Source organism: Homo sapiens, chromosome X, assembly GCF_000001405.40.
Source record: "Homo sapiens chromosome X, GRCh38.p14 Primary Assembly".
In the NCBI taxonomy this organism is placed as follows: Eukaryota; Metazoa; Chordata; class Mammalia; order Primates; family Hominidae; genus Homo; species Homo sapiens.
The window spans coordinates 74997093-75017985 of record NC_000023.11 but is presented as its reverse complement, the minus strand read 5'-3'; positions in this window follow the sequence as shown (position 1 = coordinate 75017985).

Genomic DNA, 20893 nt, shown 5'->3' with positions numbered 1-20893 from the left:
CAGACAACCAATGCCAACTCGTGAAAGCATCCAGGAGAGAGGTTGTACCCTGCAAAGCCACAGGGGTGGAGCTGCCCAAGACCATGGGAACCCACCTCTTGCATCAGTGTGACCTGGATATGAGACATGGAGTCAAAAAATATCATTTTGGAGCTTTAAGATTTGACTGCCCTTCTGGATTTCAGACTCACATGGGGCTGGTAGCCCCTTTGTTTGGCTAATTCCTCCTAATTGGAATGGCTGTATTTACCCAATGCCTGTGCCCCCATTGTATCTAGGAAATAACTAACTTGCTTTTTATTTTACAGGCTCATAGGTGGAAGGGACTTGCCTTGTCTCAGATGAGACTTTGGACGGTGGACTTTTGAATTAATGCTGAAATCCGTTAAGACTTTGGGGGACTGTTGGAAGGCATGATTGGTTTTCAAATGTAAGGATGTGAGATTTGGGAGGGGTCAGAGTCAGAATGATATGGTTTGGCTTTGTGTCCCCACCCAAATTTAATCTTGAATTGTACTCCTATAATTCCCATGTATTGTGGGATGGACCTGGCGGGAGATAATTGAATCATGGGGGCAGTTTCCCCCATACTTTTCTCGTGGTAGTGAATAAGTCTCACAAGATCTGATGGTTTGATAAAGGGAAACTCATTTCACTTGGCTCTCATTCTCTCTTTTTTCTGCTGCCATCCACATAAGATGTGACTTGCTCCTCCTTGCCTTCCACCATGATTGTGAGGCCTACCCAGCCATATGGAACTGTAACTCCAATTAAACCTCTTTCTTTTGTAAATTGCCCAGTCTTGGGTATGTCTTTATCAGCAGCATGAAAATGGACAAATATAAGGAGTCTCCAACTGCTACTTCCAAAAGTTTATTTACCATGCTTAAAATAGTTTTAATAAAGATGATTTAAAACAAAAAATTCATGGCAGGTGCAGTGACTAGCACCTGTAATCCCAGCACTTTGGGAGGCTGAGGTAGGTTGATCACCTGAGGTCAGGAGTTCAAAACCAGCCTGGCCAACATGGTGAAACCCCATCTCTACTAAAGATGCAAAAATTAACCAGGCATGGTGGTGCATGCCTGTAGTCCCAGGTACTCGAGAGGCTGAGGCAGGAGAATTGCTTGAACCCGTGAGGTGGAGGTTGCAGTGTGCCAAGATCATGCCACTGCACTCCAGCCTGGGTGACAGAAGCGAAACTCCATCCAAAAAATAAAAAACAAACAAACCTCTACACATGCTGCCCTTAACTTTAGTAATAAAAAAAAAACCTTTCTTCCACTAATAATATTAAATGCCAAGTTGTCTATAAGGAAGAGCCACTGCATAAAATAGAAACTGCAAGTTTTTACATAGGATGCAGCTGTAAAAACTGTAATCATTTTATAGTTGTCTAGAATATCACAGTAGGAAGAAAACTAAGATGATTTAGTTTATGGATTAGCAAACGTTTTTAGTAAAGACCAGATAGTCAATATTGTGGCTTTAATGGTCAAATGGTCTTTATGACAACTAATGGACTCTGCCTTTGCAATGCAAATGCAGCCATAGACAAAACATAAATGCACGAGGGTCACTATGTTCCAAAAAACTTTATTTATAAAATCACCTTCAGAAGCTGGCCAGATTTTGCCAACCTCTTATTTATTCTAAACCCCTTATGTCTCTGTATAAGGAATTGAGAGAATAGAGGAGATGTGTCTACCTCAGCCAAGTTTATTAAGTAGTTCAAAGGCAGAGCTAGGACTAGAATTCAATTCAGCTCTCTTCTTCACTGTGCCATGTTTAAGCAGTGAGGCTAGAGGTGACTATTTGTCACCAGTAATCTGATCATATTTTCCCCGATTTGAATTTATCAAATAATTGGAATGCATAATTAACTTTTTTGTTTACATTCTACTGAGTCTTAGAAATTGATGGATATTAAAATCAATGTACAAAAGTGACAAGCATTCCTACACACCAGCAACAGACAAGCAGAGAGCCAAATCATTAATAAACTCCCATTCACAATTGCTACAAGGAGAACAAAATACCTAGGAATACAGTTAACAACAGAAGTGAAGGACCTCTTCAAGGAGAGCTACAAACCACTGCTCAAGGAAGTCAGAGAGGACACAAACAAATAGAAAAACATTCCCTGTTCATGGATAGGAAGAATCAATATCATGAAAATGGCCAAACTGCCCAAAGTAATTTATAGATTCAATGCTATTCCCATCAAGCTACCATTGACTTTCTTCAAAGAATTAGAAAAAAACCACTTTAAATTTCATATGGAATGAAAAAAGGGCCTGTATAGCCAAGAGAGTCCTAAGCAAAAAGAACAAAGCTGGAGGCATCATGCTACCTGTCTTCAAACTATACTAGAAGGCTGCAATAACCAAAACAGCATGGTAATGGTACCAAAATAGACCAATGAAACAGAACAGAGGCCTCAGAAATAACACCACACATCTACAACCATCTGATCTTTGGCAAACCTGCCAAAAACAAGCAATGGGGAAAGGATTCTCTATTTAATAAATGCTGCAGGGAAAAACTGGATATCCATATGGAGAAAATTGAAACTGGACCCCTTCCTTACACATTATACAAAAATTAACTCAAGATGAATTAAAGACTTAAATGTAAAACCCAAAACTAGAAAAACCTTAGAAGAAAATCTAGGCAATACCATTCATGACATAGGCACAGGCAAAGATTTCATGACAAAACAACCAAAAGCAATTACAACAAAAGCAAAAATTGACAAATGAGATCTAATTAAACTAAAGAGCTTCTGCATAGCAAAAGAAACTATAATCAGAGTGAACAGGCAAGTTGCAGAGTGGGAGAAAATTTTTACAATCTATCCATCTGACAAAGGCATAATATCCAGAATCTACAAAGAACTTAAATTTACAAGAAGAAAATGAACATTCCCATTAAAAAGTGGGCAAAAGACATGAACAGACACTTCTCAAAAGAAGACAATTATGTGACCAACAAACATGAAAAAAAAGCTCAATATCACTGATCATTAGAGAAATGCAAATCAAAACCACAATGAGATACCATCTCACTCCAATCAGAATGGTGATTAAAAAGTCAGGAAACAGCAGATGCTTACAAGGTTGCAGAGAAATAGGAATGCTTTTACACTGTTGCTGGGAATGTAAATTAGTTCAACTATTGTGGAAGATGGTGTGGCAATTCCTCAAAGATCTAGAACCAGAAATACCATTTGACCCAGCAATCCCATTACTGGGCATATACCCAAAAGAATATAAATCATTCTATTACAAAGATACGTGCATGCATATGTTCATTGCAGTACTATTTGCAATAGCAAAGACATGGAATCAATCCAAATGCCCATCAATGATAGATGGATAAAGAAAGTGTGGTACATATACACCATGGAATACTATGCAGCCATAAAAAGGAATGAGATTATATCCTTTGCACAGACATGGATAGAACTGGAAGCCATTATCCTCAGCAAACTAACACAGGGACAAAAAACCAAACACCACGTGTTCTCACTTATAAGTGAGAGCTGAAGAATGAGAACACATGGACCCAGGGAGGGGAACAACACACACTGGGGCCTGTCAGAGGGTGGGTTGGAGGGAGGGAGAATTTTAGGAACAATAGTTAATGCATGCTGGGCTTAATACCGAGGTGATGGGTTCACAGGTGCCACAAACCACCATGGCACACATTTACATAGGTAACAATCCTGCACATCTTGCACATGTACCCCAGAACTTAATAAAAATAAAAATTAAAAAGGAAAAATATTGATGTATATTGAGTTAGTAGTATTAGAGTATATAGTGTTATATTTTAGGCTTTTAGGGCACTTATTTAAGGAATGAATATAATATTCATCTCTCAGGGATTGTAGTACAATAGGGAGTGTATATAGTATTATATTTTAGGCTTTTAGGACACATATTTAAGGAATGAATATAGTATTCATCTCTCAGAGAATATAGTACAATAGAGAGTGTACAATACTACATTATGCTATATTTCTCAGGGAATATAGTATAGTAAGGAGCGTTTAAACTATAAAATGTTTTTTTAAGCCAGAATGGAACAAGTCCAGACAACCAGCACATGCGTAAAAAAGCAAATGGCTTTGTAATTCAAAGATATATCTTAGAACAATAGCTCTTACACTGGAATTTTCACAGAATTCTGGTGAGGTCTAAATGAGATAATGAATGTGATTATTTGCATGTGGTGATGTGCTATGCATATGAAAAGACTAATTGTTTCATAGCCAATGAGGAAACAGAGGCCTAATTTTCTGCTATCTCTACCCTACCTCATAGTTTTAAGAACTAGGCAGAGGTGTATGTTTACAGATACTTTCCTGAGTTGACACCAATTAATGGAGATACTAAGAGAAGAAGTGTTCAGTTTGAGTTTAATTATGGAATTAATAGTGGACCAGTGTGCTAGAAACTGGAAAATACACAAAATAGGTACTGTAGATTTATAGGCTAATAGTAGCAATTGGTTTAGCAAGGATGTTAATTCTTTCAGCCAAAGTTAAGCCGTTTGGCCCCTCCTAGATGATATTTTTAAAAGTCTGAATTTTTCTGAGCATGGCAGCTACAATTTTTAGGAGTTGAGAGCTATGGGATATAATTACTTCTAACTTTATTGTATCCAAAAGAAGATTTGGAAGAAAACACGTTGGGCTTTTGTAATAAAAGAAAAAATGATGTAATCGTGCTTTTCTTTCATATGTTGAACCTTGTCAGAGCTTAGTAAGGTAGCAGCCTCCAGGTATTCCCAGGTACCACTTAAGTGGCATCAAATTAATACAACTTAGACAGCCAATTTGTATTTACCTATTTATTGTAAATGTACCTGTTATAGTGCCACTAAATGTTGCTTATACACAACACTGAAGATCTTAAAATAACTAAGAAGCCTAATGTCCCCCCTCTTTTACTCTATTGAACTTAGCCTCTGAAGGTGTAATAGTTTTCTGGTCTTCATCTAATTCTTTATTCTCGGAACTTATCAATTAAAATGGGTAATCTGTCTTCCTTTGGGCTTTATTACATTTAATATTTTGAGACAATCACTAGCCTGTACAGTTTAGGTGTCCTAAGATAGTAAAGCTAAAAACAAGCAAAAGAAAACCCCTGGCCTTTCAGATACTAGTTTAAATCTGTTTTCACAACTTCTCTTACTAAGGTCACATGGGAACTACTTTGTATCTCACCTCAAGAATTACAGTAGAGATTCATCACACTATTTGTGGAAGATAAATTTATAGAAGATTTATATTCCTAATTAGCCCAGTTAATTCTAATTGGCTTCTTCTGTGTTCAGGTTTGAATATGCCTTTGCTAACCAAGCCTGTGGGGCTTACTTCTAGGACTTAGGAGAGAGTTCCCCGGCAGTGCTTAGCAAATCAGGAGCCAGAGGAACAAAATTAAATTATGAAAAATTAAAACCATTGAAAGTGCAATATATTTGCTTTCATCAATATCCTGAGTAAGAAATAACAGATTTTCAAAGACTTTACATTTCTATTCTTTCCTTTTGACCTATGCTCTACTTGTGGCTTGGCAACAATGCTTCTAAAAAGATTTTTATTTGTTGGAAAAACATTGACAGTATTAAGGAACGTTATATGTCTCATGGCTCCCCATTGATTAGAAACAACTTATTTCTATTGAGAAGTCATCAGGCTAAAAAAAACCTGAAGAAGAACAATGCAAATCCCATATTGCTTGAAACAGTAATGTAATTTTACAAAACTTACTAACTATATACTTTCTTACCCATAGAAAAAATAGTCATTCTTGTAAAGATCAACATGTGGCAGTGTCCAAATATGGATGAATGGAGGGGAGCAGAGCAAGATGGTGGAATAGAAAGCTCCACCAATTATCCTCTCCTGCAAGGATGCCAAGTTAGCAACTATCTACACAGACAAAACACTTTCATGAAAACCAATTATCAGGTACCAGCATGGCCACAGAAGAGTGGATCACCAAGCGGGTTCCTGGGGTTCCCAGTTTCTGGACTTGACTCTTTGATGGCATTTCTGGACCTGCCCTGGGCCAGAGAGGAGTCCAATTCCCTGAAGGGTGATTCCTAGGTCAGGCAGCATTTATGACAAGCTGACTTAAGAGACCTTAGGTCTTAATGGAACATCCTCAGTAGTCTAGCAGTGGTCCTTGTGGCCTGGGGTGGTGGTGACTACAGGGTGAGGCTCCTCTGCCTTTGGAAATGGGAGGGAAGAGTGGGAAGGGCAGTGTTCTGTGGTTTGAGAGCCAACTCAGTTGCAATACAATAGAACAGTTAGACATCTAAGGTTTTTTACTCTAGTCTCTGACTCTCAGACAACACTTCTGGACCCACCTGGGGCTTGGGGAGGGGGGACCTTGACACACTGAAGGAAAGGACACAGGCCTGGCTGGGTTTGACACCTGCAAATTGTAGAACTCAAGGGCCTTGAGGGAACACAGGCAGTAGCTAGGGAGTAGTTGCAGTAGGCCTTTGGGCAACACCTAGCATGGTGTTGGCTTCAGGTCTGACCCAATGCATCAATAGTCATGGTGGGCAAAGGTTGCTTGTGTCACTCTATGTCTAGTTTTAAGTGGGTCAGAATAAAGGAAGAGAGACTCTATAAGTTCAGAAGAAAAAAAGGAAAAAGAACAGGAGTTTCTGCCTGGCCAGAGAATTCTCCTGGATCTTGTCCAAGACCATCTATGAGTCTGCAAGAGCCACAGTGTGACAGGACTTGGAATGCCTTCTAAAGAAAATATAGCTTAGATCACAACACCCAAGTCCATTCAAATATCTGAAAAAGCCTTTTCAAGAATAGCTACAAATAAGCCCAGACAGAGAAGACTACAATAAATACCTAACCCTTCAATACCCAGACACCAAAGAACATCTACTAATATCAACACCATCCAGGAAAACATGACCTCATGAAATGAGCTAAATAAGCCATCGGGGCCAATCCTGGAGAAACAGATATGTGACCTTTCAGACAGAGAATGCAAAATAGCTGTATTTTTAAAAACTCAAAGAAATTCAAGATAACATACAGCAAAGATTCAGAATCCTATCAGATAAATTTAACAAAGAGATTAAAATAATTAAAAAAGAATCAGCTGAAGAATGCATCAGAGTCCTTTAACAGCAGAATTGATAGAGTAGAAGAAATAATTAGGGAACTTGAAGACAGGCTATTTGTAAGTACACAAAGAAAAAAGAAAAAAATAAATAACAATGAAGCATGCCTACAGGATCTAGAAAACAGCTCAAAAGGGCAAATCTAAGTGTTATCGGCCTTAAAGAGAATGTAGAGAAAGAGGTAGGGGTAGAAAGTTAATGCCAAGGGATGACAGAGAACTTCCCAAACCTAGAGAAAGATATCAATATCCAAGTACAAGAAGGTTATAGAACACCAAGAAGATTTAATGCAAAAAAGACTACCTCAAAACATTTAATAATCAAACTCCTAAAGGTCAAGGATAAAGAAAGGATCCTAAAAGCATCAAGAGAAAACAAACAAATAACATACAGTGGAACTCCAATATGTCTGGTAGCAGAATCTTCAGTTGAAACCTTACAGGTCAGGAGAGAGTGGCATGACATATTTGAAGTGCTGAAGAAAAAAAATAAAATGTTTACCCTAGAATAGTATATATAGTGAAAATATCCTTCAAACATGAAGGATAAATAAAGACTTTCCCAGACAAAGAAAGGCTGAGGAATTTCATCAATACCAGACCTATCCTGCAAAACATGCTAAAGGGAGTACTTTAATCAGAAAGAAAAGGAAATTAATGAGAAATAAATAGTCACCTGAGGGAACAAAACTCACTAGTAATAGTAAGTACACAGAAAAACACAGAATATTATATCACTAACTGTGGTGTGTAAACTACTCATCCTAAGGAAAAAGACCAAACAATAGACCAATAAAAATTAATAACTACAAGAACTTTTTCAGACAAAGTCAATACAATAGATATAAATAGAAACCATAAAAAGTTAAAAAGCAGGGGGAATGAAGTTAGGACTTAGAGTTTTTATTGGTTTTCCTTTGCTTGTTTGTTTATCCAAATAATGTTAAGTTGTTATCAGGTTAAAATAATGGGTTATAAGATAGTATTTGCAAGCCTCATGGTCACCTCAAGTCAAAAAACATACAATGAATACACAAAAAATAGAAAGAAAATGAATTATATTACTAAAGAAAATCACCTTCACTAGTGAAAGACAGGAAGGAAAGAAATAAGGAAGAGATGACCACAAAACAACCAGAAAACAAATAATAAAATGGCAGGAATAAGTTCTTGTGAATAATAACTTTGAATATAAATGGACTAAAGCCACCAATCAAAAGATATAGACTGATTGAATGGATGAAAAATACAAGACCCATTGATCTGTTGCCTAAAAGAGACACACTCCACTTATAAAGACAAAAATAGACTGAAAATAAAGTGATGGAAGAAGATATTCCACAGGAATGGAAATCAAAAAAGAGGAGGACTTGCTGTGCCTGTATCAGACAAAACAGATTCAAGACAAAAACTATTAGAAGAGACAAAGAATGTCACTACATAATGATAAAGGGGTCAATTTAGCAAGAGGATATAACGATTTAAATATATATGCACTCAACACTGGAGCACCCACATATATATAAAGGAAATAATATTAGAGCTAAAGAGAGAAATAGGCCCTAATAAAATAACAGCTGGAGACTTCAACACCCTAGTTTCAGCATTGCACAGATCTTCCACACAGAAACTCAGCAAACATCAGACTTAATCTGCACTATAGACCAAATGGATCTAATGGATATTTATAGACCATTTTATCCAAGAACCACAGATGACACTTTTTTTTTCTTCAGCACATGGGTTTTTCTCAAGGATAGACCATACGTGAGGTCAAAAAACAACTCTTAAAACATTCAAAAAAATTTAAATAATACCAAACGTCTTCTGTAACCACAATGAAATAAAAGTAGAAATTAATAAGAGGAATTTTGGAAACAATACAAATACATAAAAATAAAACAATATGCTCCTGACTGGCCAGTGAGTAAATGAAGAAATTAAGAAGGAAACTTAAACATTTATTTAAACAAATGATAATGGAAACACAACATAAGAAAATTTATGGGATACAGCAAAAGCAGCACTCAGAGGGAAGTTTACAACTATTGGTGCCTACATCTGATAAAGAGGAAAATCTTCAAATAAACAATCTCACAATGCATCTTAAAGAACTAGAAAAGCAAGAGCAAATCAAACCTAAAAAGAGTAGAAGGAAAGAAATCATAAAGATCAGAGCAGAAATAAATGAATTTGAAATAAAAAATACAAAAGATCAATGAAACAAAAAGTTTTTTTTTAAGTTAATAAAATTGACAAACATTTAGCCAGCCTAAGAAAAAGAGAATATCCAGATAAATAAAATCAGAACTGAATAAGGAGACATTACAACTGATACTGCAGAAATTTAAAGGATCATTAGAGGCTACCATCAGCAACTATATACCAATAAATTGGACAATCTGGATAAATGGATGAATTTCTAGTTACATACAACCTACCCAGATTGAATCAGGAAGAAATCCAAACCTTGAACAGACCAATAACAAGTAATGAGATTGAAGCTGTAATAAAAACTCTTCCAGTAAAGAAAAGTGTGAGGCCTAATAGCTTCACTGCTGAATTCTACCAAACATTTAAAGAACTAATGCCAATCCTGCTCTATTTCAAAAAATGAAAGAGGAGGAAATACTTTCCTACTCATTCTATGAAGCTAGTATCACCCTGATACCAAGGACAGACAAAGACACATCACAAAAAGAAAACTACTGGCCAATATCTCTCATGAATATTGATACAAAAATCCTCAATAAAATACTATTAGGGTGGTGCACAAGTAATTGTGGTTTTTGTCATTAGTAGCAAACCAAATTCAACAATACATTAGAAAGATCATTCATCATAACCAAATGGGATTTTTCCCTAGGATGCAAGGATGATTCAGTGTATTCAAATCAATCAACATGAGACATCATATCAGCAGAATGAAGAATAAAAACTGTAGGATCATTTCAATTGATCCGAAAAAGCATTTAATAATATTCAACATTCTTTCATGATAAAACCTTCAAAAATGGGAGATAAAAGGAACGTATCTCAACATAATAAAAGCCATATATGACAGATCCACAGCTAGTATCATACTGAATGGGGAAAAATTGAAAGTCTTTCCAGTAAGATCTGGAATGCAACAAGGATGCCCACTGTCACCAGTTATTCAACATAGTACTGGCAGTCCTAGCTAGAGCAATCAAAAAAAGAAAGATATAAAGGGGATCTATACTGGAAAGAAAGAATTCAAATTATCCTTGTTTGCTGATGATATGATCTTATATTTGATACAACCTAAAGACTTCACAAGAAAAATAACAGAATGATAAACAAATTAATGAAGTTGAAACTTCAGGATACAAAATTAACACACAAAAACCAGTAGCGTTTCTATATGCCAACAGGGAACAAAGTGAAAAAGAAAGAAAAAAGTAATCCCATTTACAGTAGCCACACATAAAATTAAATGCCTAGGGATTAATTAAAGAACTAAAAGATCTCTATAATGAAAACTGTAAAACACTGATGAAGGAAACTGAAGAGGACAACAAAAAATTAAAAGATATTTTATGTTCATGAATTGGAAGTATCAATATTGTTAAAATGTTCATACTACTCAAAGCAATCTACAGATTCACTGCAATCCCTATCAAAATACCCATGACATACTTTACAGAAATAGAAAAAGCAATCCTCAAATGTATATGGAACTGCAAAAGACCCAGAATAGCCAAAGCTTTCCTAAACAAAAAGAACAAAACTGGAGGAATCACATATCCTGACTTCAAATTATACTACCAATTTTATATGGTAACCAAAAGAGCATGGTACTGGCCTAAAACAGACGTATGGACCAATAGGACAGAATAGAGAATGCAGGAACAAATCTACACACCAACAGTTAAGTCATATTTGACAAAGTTGCCAAGGACATACACTAGAGATATAGCCAAAAGAAAGAAAATTAGTATATTGAACAAATATCAGCATTCCTATGTTTGTTGCTGAGCTGTTTACAATAGCTAAGATTTTGAAGCAACATAAGCGTCCATCAACAGATAAATGGATAAAGAAAATGTGGTATGTATACAAAATGGAGTACTCTTCAGCCATAAAAAAATAAGATCCTTTCATTTGCAACTTCATGGATGGAACTGGAGATCATTGTGTTAAGTGAAATAAGCCAAGCACATAAAGACACACATTGCATGTTCTCATTTATTTATGGGATCTAAAAATCAAATCAGTTGAACTCGTGAAAATAGGGAACAGAAGGATAATTACCAGAGGCTGGGAAGGGTATTGGGGAGTTGGGCGGGAGGCGGGAATAAGTAATGCACACCAAAAAAAAAAAAAATAGAATCAATAAGACCTACTATTTGATAGCATAGTAGGATGACTATAGTCAATAATAGATTAATTATATATTTTTAAATGACTTAATGTAACTGGATTGTTTGTAACTCAAAGGATAAACGCTTGAGAGGATGGATACCTCATTCTCCATGATGTGTTTACTTCACATTGCATATTTTCATCAAAACATCTTATGTACCCTTAAATATATACACCTACTATGTGCCCACAAAAACTTTTTAAAATAATTAAAATTGTTTTGAAATTAAAAAACTGGTAAATGGTAAATGAGAAAGCATTAAAATGAGTTCTATTAACAATAAGAAAAAATCCCAGCAAGTAGGGGTGCTGAGGCAGGACAATCACTTGAGCCCAGGAGTTCAAGACCAACCTGGGCAACATAGCGAGAGCCCATCTCTAAAAAAAAAATAATAATTTAATGATAAGAAAAGAGTAGGAAATAAAATCAGTACTCAAAATTAGTTTCTTACCTAAAGAGTTTTTCCATTAATTACATTTTGAGACTTCTTTATCATATATCATGGGAGTTTTCATTCATATAAACTAATAATCTCCAGAGTGATGTTTTCAAAAAAGTGGTAGAATCTGTTTCTAGAGATTTGGACTGACATTCATCTCACTTAGGTATTTTAGGTAATTTTACTACAACAAAGACTTTTATGAATTGACTTCTTGAATTTAGTCAATGTTAGAAATTTAAACTAGAGGATATGTGGTAAAGTCAGTTAAAGCTTACCAAGGTTTTTGTGTTTTTTTTATTGTTTGTTTATTTGTTTGTTTGTTTGTTTAGAGAAACAGTCCCATTCTGTTACCCAGGCTGGAGTGCAGTGGTGCAATCATAGCTCACTGTAGCCTCAAACTCCTGGGCTCAAGTGATTGTCCCACCTCAGCCTCCCAAGTGGCTGAAACTACAGGTGTTTGCCTCTATGCCCAACGTTTTTTTCTATTTTTTTAAGAGACGGGGTCTCAGTACGTTGCCCAAGCTGTTTTCAAACTCCTGGCCTCAAGCAGTCTTTCCACCTTGGTCTCCCAAAGCACTGGGCTTACAGTCATGAGCCATTGTGCCCAGCCAAGTTTGTTGTGTTTTTTAATGTGAGGACTGATCCATTCCTGGGAGAGGAAATATAATTCTTCTGAAGGCAAACTTATCCTCAGGGTGGTCATAGAAGTGCATTATCAGTTATCAGAAAGAACTTTTTTTGTTTGTTTATTTTACAAATGCTATGCTTTGGATACGGTTTGTTTGGCCCCATCAATTCTCATGATGAAATTTGATCCCCAGTTATGGAGATGTGGCCTACTAGGAAGTGTTTGAGTTGTGGAGGCTGATCCACCATGAATTGCTTGATGTCATTCTCGCAGGAGTGAGTTCTCACTCTTAGTTCCATGAGAACTGGTTGTTGAAAAGAGCCTGGCACCTCCCTCTCTCTCTCTCTCTTGCTTCCTGTCTCACCATGTGATCTTTGCACACTCCAGTTTCCCTTTGCCTTCAACCATGAGTGGAAACATCCTGAAGCTCTCACCAGAAGCAGATCTGGTACCATGCTCTGTGTACAGCCTATAGAATTGTAAGGCAAATAAATCTCTTTTCTTTATACATTACCCAGGCTCCGGTTTTTTTTATAATAACACAAACAGGCAAAAACAGAAAATGACCGCCTCCAAAACAGTTTATGACAAAAGACATCCTAGTAAGCCAGTTCTGTGGATGTTTGTGTGTAGGAATATTTTAATTCTAGGTTTCCCACATGACAGAAGGGACATTCTTTGACTTTTTAAAGACTTACTTTGCTAATATTTTTACACCAGATATTGCTTTTGTTAGTTACAATGTACTGCCATTAGCAATAGAAATATTAATTGTTCATGGCACTTAGGAACATTTTCCTGTGGATTATTTTTTTCTCTTCTAGAAACTAACTTGGCAGGTAAAAAGGAGGGAAGGATTGAGGACTCTGTGTTGCTTTGGGGGAGAAAATATACAGGCTAGTTTTTCTGTGCTCTCAGTGGTAAATCACTTTTTTTCTTTTTTGAGACAGTGTCTTGCTCTGTCACCCAGGCTGGAGTGCAGTGGTGTGAACATGGCTTACTGCAGCCTCATCCTATGAGGCTCAAGTGATACTCCCACCACAGCCTCCTGAGTAGCTGGGACCACAGATGCATGCCACCACTCCCAGCTAATTTTTCTATTTTTTGTAGGAATTGGGTCTCCCTATGTTGCTCAGGCTGTTCTCAAACTCCTGGGCTCAAGTGATCCTCCTGCCTTGGCATCCCAAAGTGTTGGGGCTACAGGCATGAGTCACCACGCCTGGCCAGTAGTTCACTTTTAACTGGAAGCTGAAAATGTTACATCACCAAATTTCAACTGATTCAGAAGCAAGCTCTAATGGGAAATAATAGTAAATAAATATAGGGAGGTGGATGAAAATTATGGTGTTAATTATTCACCTTCCTGAGATTTCTAAGCAATTTCAGGTGACACAGTCTAATTCTCCTTCATTTTTGCTAATGCAAAAACATGTAGAAATTGATAAAGTGAGTGACTCCATGTCATACTGGGAAGTACAGAGTCTAGATCAGAGGTTGTCAGAGTATGGTCTGGGGGCTCCTAAGACCCTTTCAGAGCCTGTGAGTTCCATATGGTTTTCATAATAATGCCAAAATGTTGTTTGGATTTTTCACTCTCATTCTCTCACAAGTATACAATGACATTTTCCAGAGGCTACATGATATATGACGACATCATTGTTCTGAAAGTTAGCATGTGCATTCTTCTGTTTTCAAACATTTTCCAAGATAGTAGGTTTAGGGTATTAACATGGGCACACGCACACACACGCACACACACCTCTCCATTTGTACTCAGTACTTCCACTGTTTTCTTACTAGCTATCTATGCTTATACCTGTCATAATCTTTTAATCTCCTTATTATCCACTAAATCACTATTTAAAATTCTATAGTTTCCCTCATGCTTATGTGGAGACACAAGAAGCAAGTACTTTGTCTTGTGTTGCAGTAATATTTTTAGTTTTCAAAAATTGGTTTATATTTTTTCTAAAATATTTTAGAATTTAATAATATTTTATACTAACAAAATTTTATTTATAAAAGTTTTTCCTCATATTTTGATATGCATTATTGGCTTCCAAAATGGAAACTAGAAGAATCACTGTCCCAAACCACAACTACACCATCCATCTCTAAACATGCTGAAAATCATTTTCTTCTTGAAACTGACATATCCTAATAAAGTTCTTTGACTCAAGGAAGGGAAGAATGTACTCCAAAGAAACTGTACAATGCTGTAAATTAAAATATGATACATTATTCTTTCAGCTGTATAGATGTTAATAATTTACCCTATTGTGTCTTATGGAACTGAACACATTCAGATAGTATTGTTGATGCCAGTTAAATTGCGTCATTTTGAGGTTAATTATTCTGCATTTATAGAAAAAGAAATTAAATATTTTAAACATAGATGGGAAAAGCTGTTTAAAACCAAAAATTGTTTGTTACACTTTTGCAAACTAGAAATAAAGCCACCAAAGCAACTTATGGGTAAATTGTCATAAACTGGCTGGAGGAATACACACAGTAACTAAGAGACTAATTAAGCCTTGTACAGTTGACACTGCTGAATGAATGCCTATTGAATAAAAAGTCAATAAAAAGAATTATGGCACTGCCATCTTCCAATGATACAATAACTCATCTATTTAGCTACAAATATGAAGAATGACATCATCTGCAGAATTACATTTTTGCCTTTCAAACGTAAAAATCTATAAATGTTGCTGAAGTTGCTGTCAATGCTTAGAAACAAGCACAAGTGTTGCTGAAATATGCAAAGTGTTGAATAACTTTTTTGAATCTCATGGTTTATCCTGGAACAGCTATGTTGACAAGGGCCAAACTGTACTACTTGTTACTGTATTCTTTACCATCATGAACTTACTATAAAAATTTTTTGATAATTTTATTTAGAAACATCTTTGACAAAACAGTAAAAGTATTCTGTGGTGTGAAATGGGAAGTATACATAAAGCACTTCCACTACGCACTGAAGTATAATGGTTTTCTCATGGAAAGGTACTTCTGCAGTTGCTTGAGTTGAGAACTGAACTAGTCACTTTTGTCATTAAACACCATTTTTACTTGAATGGAGGATTGACAGAATTATGACCATTCAGATTCAAATATCTGACACATTTTCTCAAAAATTAATAAAGTGAGCATGTCACTTCAAGCAAAACAATAGACAGTATTTGTGGCCAATGGTAAAATTTGAACTCTCAGAAAATAAATTAGAATTTTGCAAAACTTATGTCCACTACTGTGAGCCTGACAGCTTTCCAATACTTATGACTTTTCTTAAGAGATCAGTGGTGATATTAATAAATATAATAGTTTAGATATTTTATAAGAATATGTCAACATTTGGAAGACCTGCATAAATCAGTAAACCAGTATTTTTCATATAACCAACGCATGATGTTACAAAATCATGTTTGGGTAGCAGATCCATTCAAAGTGCAAGATAGACCAGTAGATTTTAATGCAACAAAGTCTGAAAAATTCACTGATATACTGTCAGATTCCACATTGCAAACTAAGAAACTACACTTGTCAAGCTTGTTGTAGAGTCAAAAAAAAATCCACAGTAATTGGAAAAAGCTATTAAAATATTCCTCTCTTCTCAACTATATATCAATTTAAGGCCAAATTTTCTTCAACTAAAACAGCATATCACAGAAAATTGAATGAAGAAGCAGATATGAGAATCCAGCTATCTTCTATTAAGTCAGACATTAAAGAGATTTGCAAATCATAAGACAGTGCCTCTTTTCTCACTAATTCTTTATAAAATATTATTCTTCATAAAAAACATCATATTTATGTTTTGTAATATGTTTACTATTTTAAAGTAAACATATATTTTCTCAAATGTAATTTTCAATACAGTAAATATTGATAAATATAACCCATATATTTAATAAAAGCTATTTAAGGTCTTTAATAATTCTTAAGAGTATAAAAGGAGACCAGACATTTGAGAAATGTTCCTGGGACCAAAACCTTTGAGAAATGTTCTATATGTAGGACATGGATCCATGACTTGAAGTTCCAAGCCTTGTTGGAAATGTAGCATCTTGTCAAACAAGGAAAGTGGTTTCTGAGCAGTGAGGAAGTCATTGTCTCCACTGTGACTTCTAGTGAGCTATATAAACTCTGTGCAAATTAAGTGAACTAATCCTTGAAAATAAGTGTGGAAAAACATATTATGGTATGTGTTATCTTTGGACAACCTAGCATTATATTCTACATTTCTCACACCTATTATCTCTTTTCTTCAAGATTAAGAGTTTTTGATAGGAAGAGAAAGATGGCTGAATAGTAGGCTTCACAAATCATCACACCACCCACCCTGCCCTGAAAGGATCACCAAATTTAACAACTGTCTATACAGAAAAGCACTTTCATAAGAACCCCAAATCAGGTGAGCACTCAGTACCTGGTTTCAACCGAATGTCATTAAAGCAGGCACTGAAGAGGGTAGGAAAGTCAATCTTAAATTGCTGATGCCACCACTCCCACATCCCACAGCAGCAGCTGTGTGTCACGGAGAGAGAACCTCTGTTGTTGGGGGAGAGAGAGATAAAAAATTGTGAGAATTTCCATTGAACACGATGCTGGCTGTGACAGCAGAAAGCAAAACCAGACTGAATTCAGCTAACACCCACAAAAGAGGGAGCATATAGGCCTGCCCTTGCTATAAGGGAATCATTCATCACAGTGGTTGGAATTTGAGTTCCAGCAAGCCTCTCCACCACAGGCTAAAGTCCTATGGGTCCCTAAATAAACCTGAAAGGCAGACTAAACCACAAGAATTGCAACTCCTAGGCAAGCCCTAATACTCAGGGGGGCTCAGAGCCAGTGGACATGTGGGGCACGAGACACACTGAGACACAAGCCAGGGCAGCTAACAGAGTGCTTGCACCACGCCTTCCCAAACTCCAGGTGGCACAGCATCTTTGCTGACCACAATGGAATAATACTAGAAATCAATAACAAGAGGAATTTTGGAAACTATAAAAATACATAAAAATTAAATGATATGCTGCTGAATGACCAGTGGGTCAAAGAAAAAATTGAAAAAAAAATTGACAATTGTATTAAAAATGATAATGAAAATACAACAAAGCAAAACCTTTGGGATACAGTGAAAGCATTACTAACAGGGAAATTTATAACTATAAGTGCCTACATAAAAAAATGAAGAAAGATGGCCGAATAGGAAGAGCTCCAGTCTACAGCTCCCAGCGTGAGCAAAGCAGAAGATGGGTGATTTCTACATTTCCATCTGAGGTACCGGGTTCATCTCACTAGGGAGTGCCAGACAGTGGGTGCAGGACAGTGGGTGCAGTGCACTGTGCGCACCGTGCACGAGCCGAAGCAGGGAGAGGCATTGCCTCACTTGGGAAGCACAAGGGATCAGGGAGTTCCCTTTCCTAGTCAAAGAAAGGGGTGACAGACAGCACCTGGAAAATCGGGTCACTCCCACCCTAATACTGCACTTTTCCAACGGGCTTAAAAAACGGCACACCAGGAGATTATATCCTGCTCCTGGCTCGGAGGGTCCTACCCCCATGGAGTCTCACCGATTGCTAGCACAACAGTCTGAGATCAAACTGCAAGGTGGTAGCGAGGCTGGGGGATGGGCGCCTGCCATTGCCCAGGCTTGCTTAGGTAAACAAAGCAGCCGGGAAGCTCGAACTGGGTGAGCCCACCACAGCTCAAGGAGGCCTTCCTGCCTCTGTAGGCTCCATCTTTGGGGGCAGGGCACAGACAAAAAAAAAGACAGCAATAACCTCTACAGACTTAAATGTCCCTGTCTGACAGCTTTGAAGAGAGTAGTGGTTCTCCCAGCATGCAGCTGGAGATCTGAGAATGGGCAGACTGCCTTCTCAAGTGGGTCCCTGATGCCTGAGCACCCTAACTGGGAGGCACTCCCAAGTAGGGGCAGACTGACACCTCACACGGCCGGGTACTCCTCTGAGACAAAACTTCCACAGGAACAATCAGGCAGCAGCATTTGCAGTTTACCAAAATCTGCAGTTCTACAGCTACTGCTGTTCTGCAGCCACCGCTGTGGATACCCAGGCAAACAGGGTCTGGAGTGGACCTCTAGCAAACTCCAACAGACCTGCAGCTGAGGGTCCTGTCTGCTAGAAGGAAAACTAACAAAGAGAAAGGATATCCACACAAAAACCCATCTGTACGTCACCATCATGAAAGACCAAAAGTAGATAAAACCACAAAGATGGGGAAAAAACAGAGCAGAAAAACTGGAAACTCTAAAAATCAGAGCACCTCTCCTCCTCCAAAGGAACACAGTTCCTCACCAGCAATGGAACAAAGCTGGATGGAGAATGACTTTGACGAGTTGAGAGAAGAAGGCTTCAGGTGATCAAAATATCCGAGCTACAGGAAGAAATTCAAACCAATGGCAAAGAAGTTAAAAACTGAAAAAAAATTAGACGAATGGATAACTAGAATAACCAATGCAGAGAAGTCCTTAAAGGAGCTGATGGAGCTGAAAGCCAAGGCTCGAGAACTATGTGAAGAATGCAGAAGCCTCAGGAGCTGCTGCAATCAACTGGAAGAAAGGTTATCAGTGACGGAAGATGAAATGAATGAAATGAAGCAAGAAGGAAAGTTTAGAGAAAAAAGAATAAAAGAAATGAACAAAGCCTCCAAGAAATATGGGACTATGTGAAAAGATCAAATCTACATCTGATTGGTGTACCTGAAAGTGATGGGGAGAATGGAACCACGTTGGAAAACACTCTGCAGGATATTCTCCAGGAGAACTTCCCCAATCTAGGAAGGCAGGCCAACATTCAGATTCAGGAAATACAGAGAACTCCACAAAGATACTCCTCGAAAAGAGCAACTCAAAGACATATAATTGTCAGATTCACCAAAGTTGAAATAAAGGAAAAAATGTTAAGGGCAGCCAGAGAGAAAGGTCGGGTTACCCACAAATGGAAGCCCATCAGACTAACAGTGGATCTCTCGGCAGAAACTCTACAAGCCAGAAGAGAGTGGGGACCAATATTCAACATTCTTAAAGAAAAGAATTTTTAACCCAGAATTTCATATCCAGCCAAACTAAACTTCATAAGAGAAGGAGAAATAAAATACTTTACAGACAAGCAAATGATGAGGGATTTTGTCACCACCAGGCCTACCCTAAAAGAGCTCCTGAAGGAAGCACTAAACATGGAAAGGAACAACCAGTACCAGCCACTGCAAAGACATGCCAAATTGTATAGACCTTCAAGGCTAGGAAGAAACAGCATCAACTAATGAGCAAAATAACCAGCTAACATCATAATGACAGGATCAGATTCACACATAACAATATAAACTTTAAATGTAAATGGGCTGAATGCTCCAACTAAAAGACACAGACTGGCAAATTGGATAAAGAGTCAAGACCCATCAGTGTGCTGTATTCAGGAAACCCATGGGCTCAAAATAAAGGGATGGAAGAAGACCTACCAAGCAAATGGAAAACAAAAAAAGGAAGGGGTTGCAATCCTAGTCTCTGATAAAACAGACTTTAAACCAACAAAGATCAAAAGAGACAAAGAAGGCCATTACATAATGGTAAAGGGATCAATTCAACAAGAAGAGCTAACTATCCTAAATATATATGCACCCAATACAGGAGCACCCAGATTCATAAAGCAAGTCCTCAGTGACCTACAAAGAGACTTAGACTCCCACACATTAATAATGGGAGACTGTAACACCCCACTATCAACATTAGACAGATCAACGAGACAGAAAGTTAACAAGGATACCCAGGAATTGAACTCAGCTCTGTACCAAGCAGACCTAATAGACATCTACAGAACTCTCCACCCCAAATCAACAGAATATACATTTTTTCAGCACCACACCACACCTATTCCAAAACTGACCACATAGTTGGAAGTAAAGCACTCCTCAGCAAATGTAAAAGAACAGAAATTATAACAAACTGTCTCTCAGACCACAGTGCAAACAAACTAGAACTCAGGATTAAGAAACTCACTCAAAAGCGCTCAACTACATGGAAACTGAACAACCTGCTCCTGAATGACTACTGGGTACATAACAAAATGAAGGCAGGAATAAACATGTTGTTTGAAACCAACGAGAACAAAGACACAACATACCAGAATCTCTGGGACACATTCAAAGCAGCGTGTAGAGGGAAATTTATAGCACTAAATGCCCACAAGAGAAAGCAGGAAAGATCCAAAATTGACACCCTAACATCACAATTAAAAGAACTAGAAAAGCAA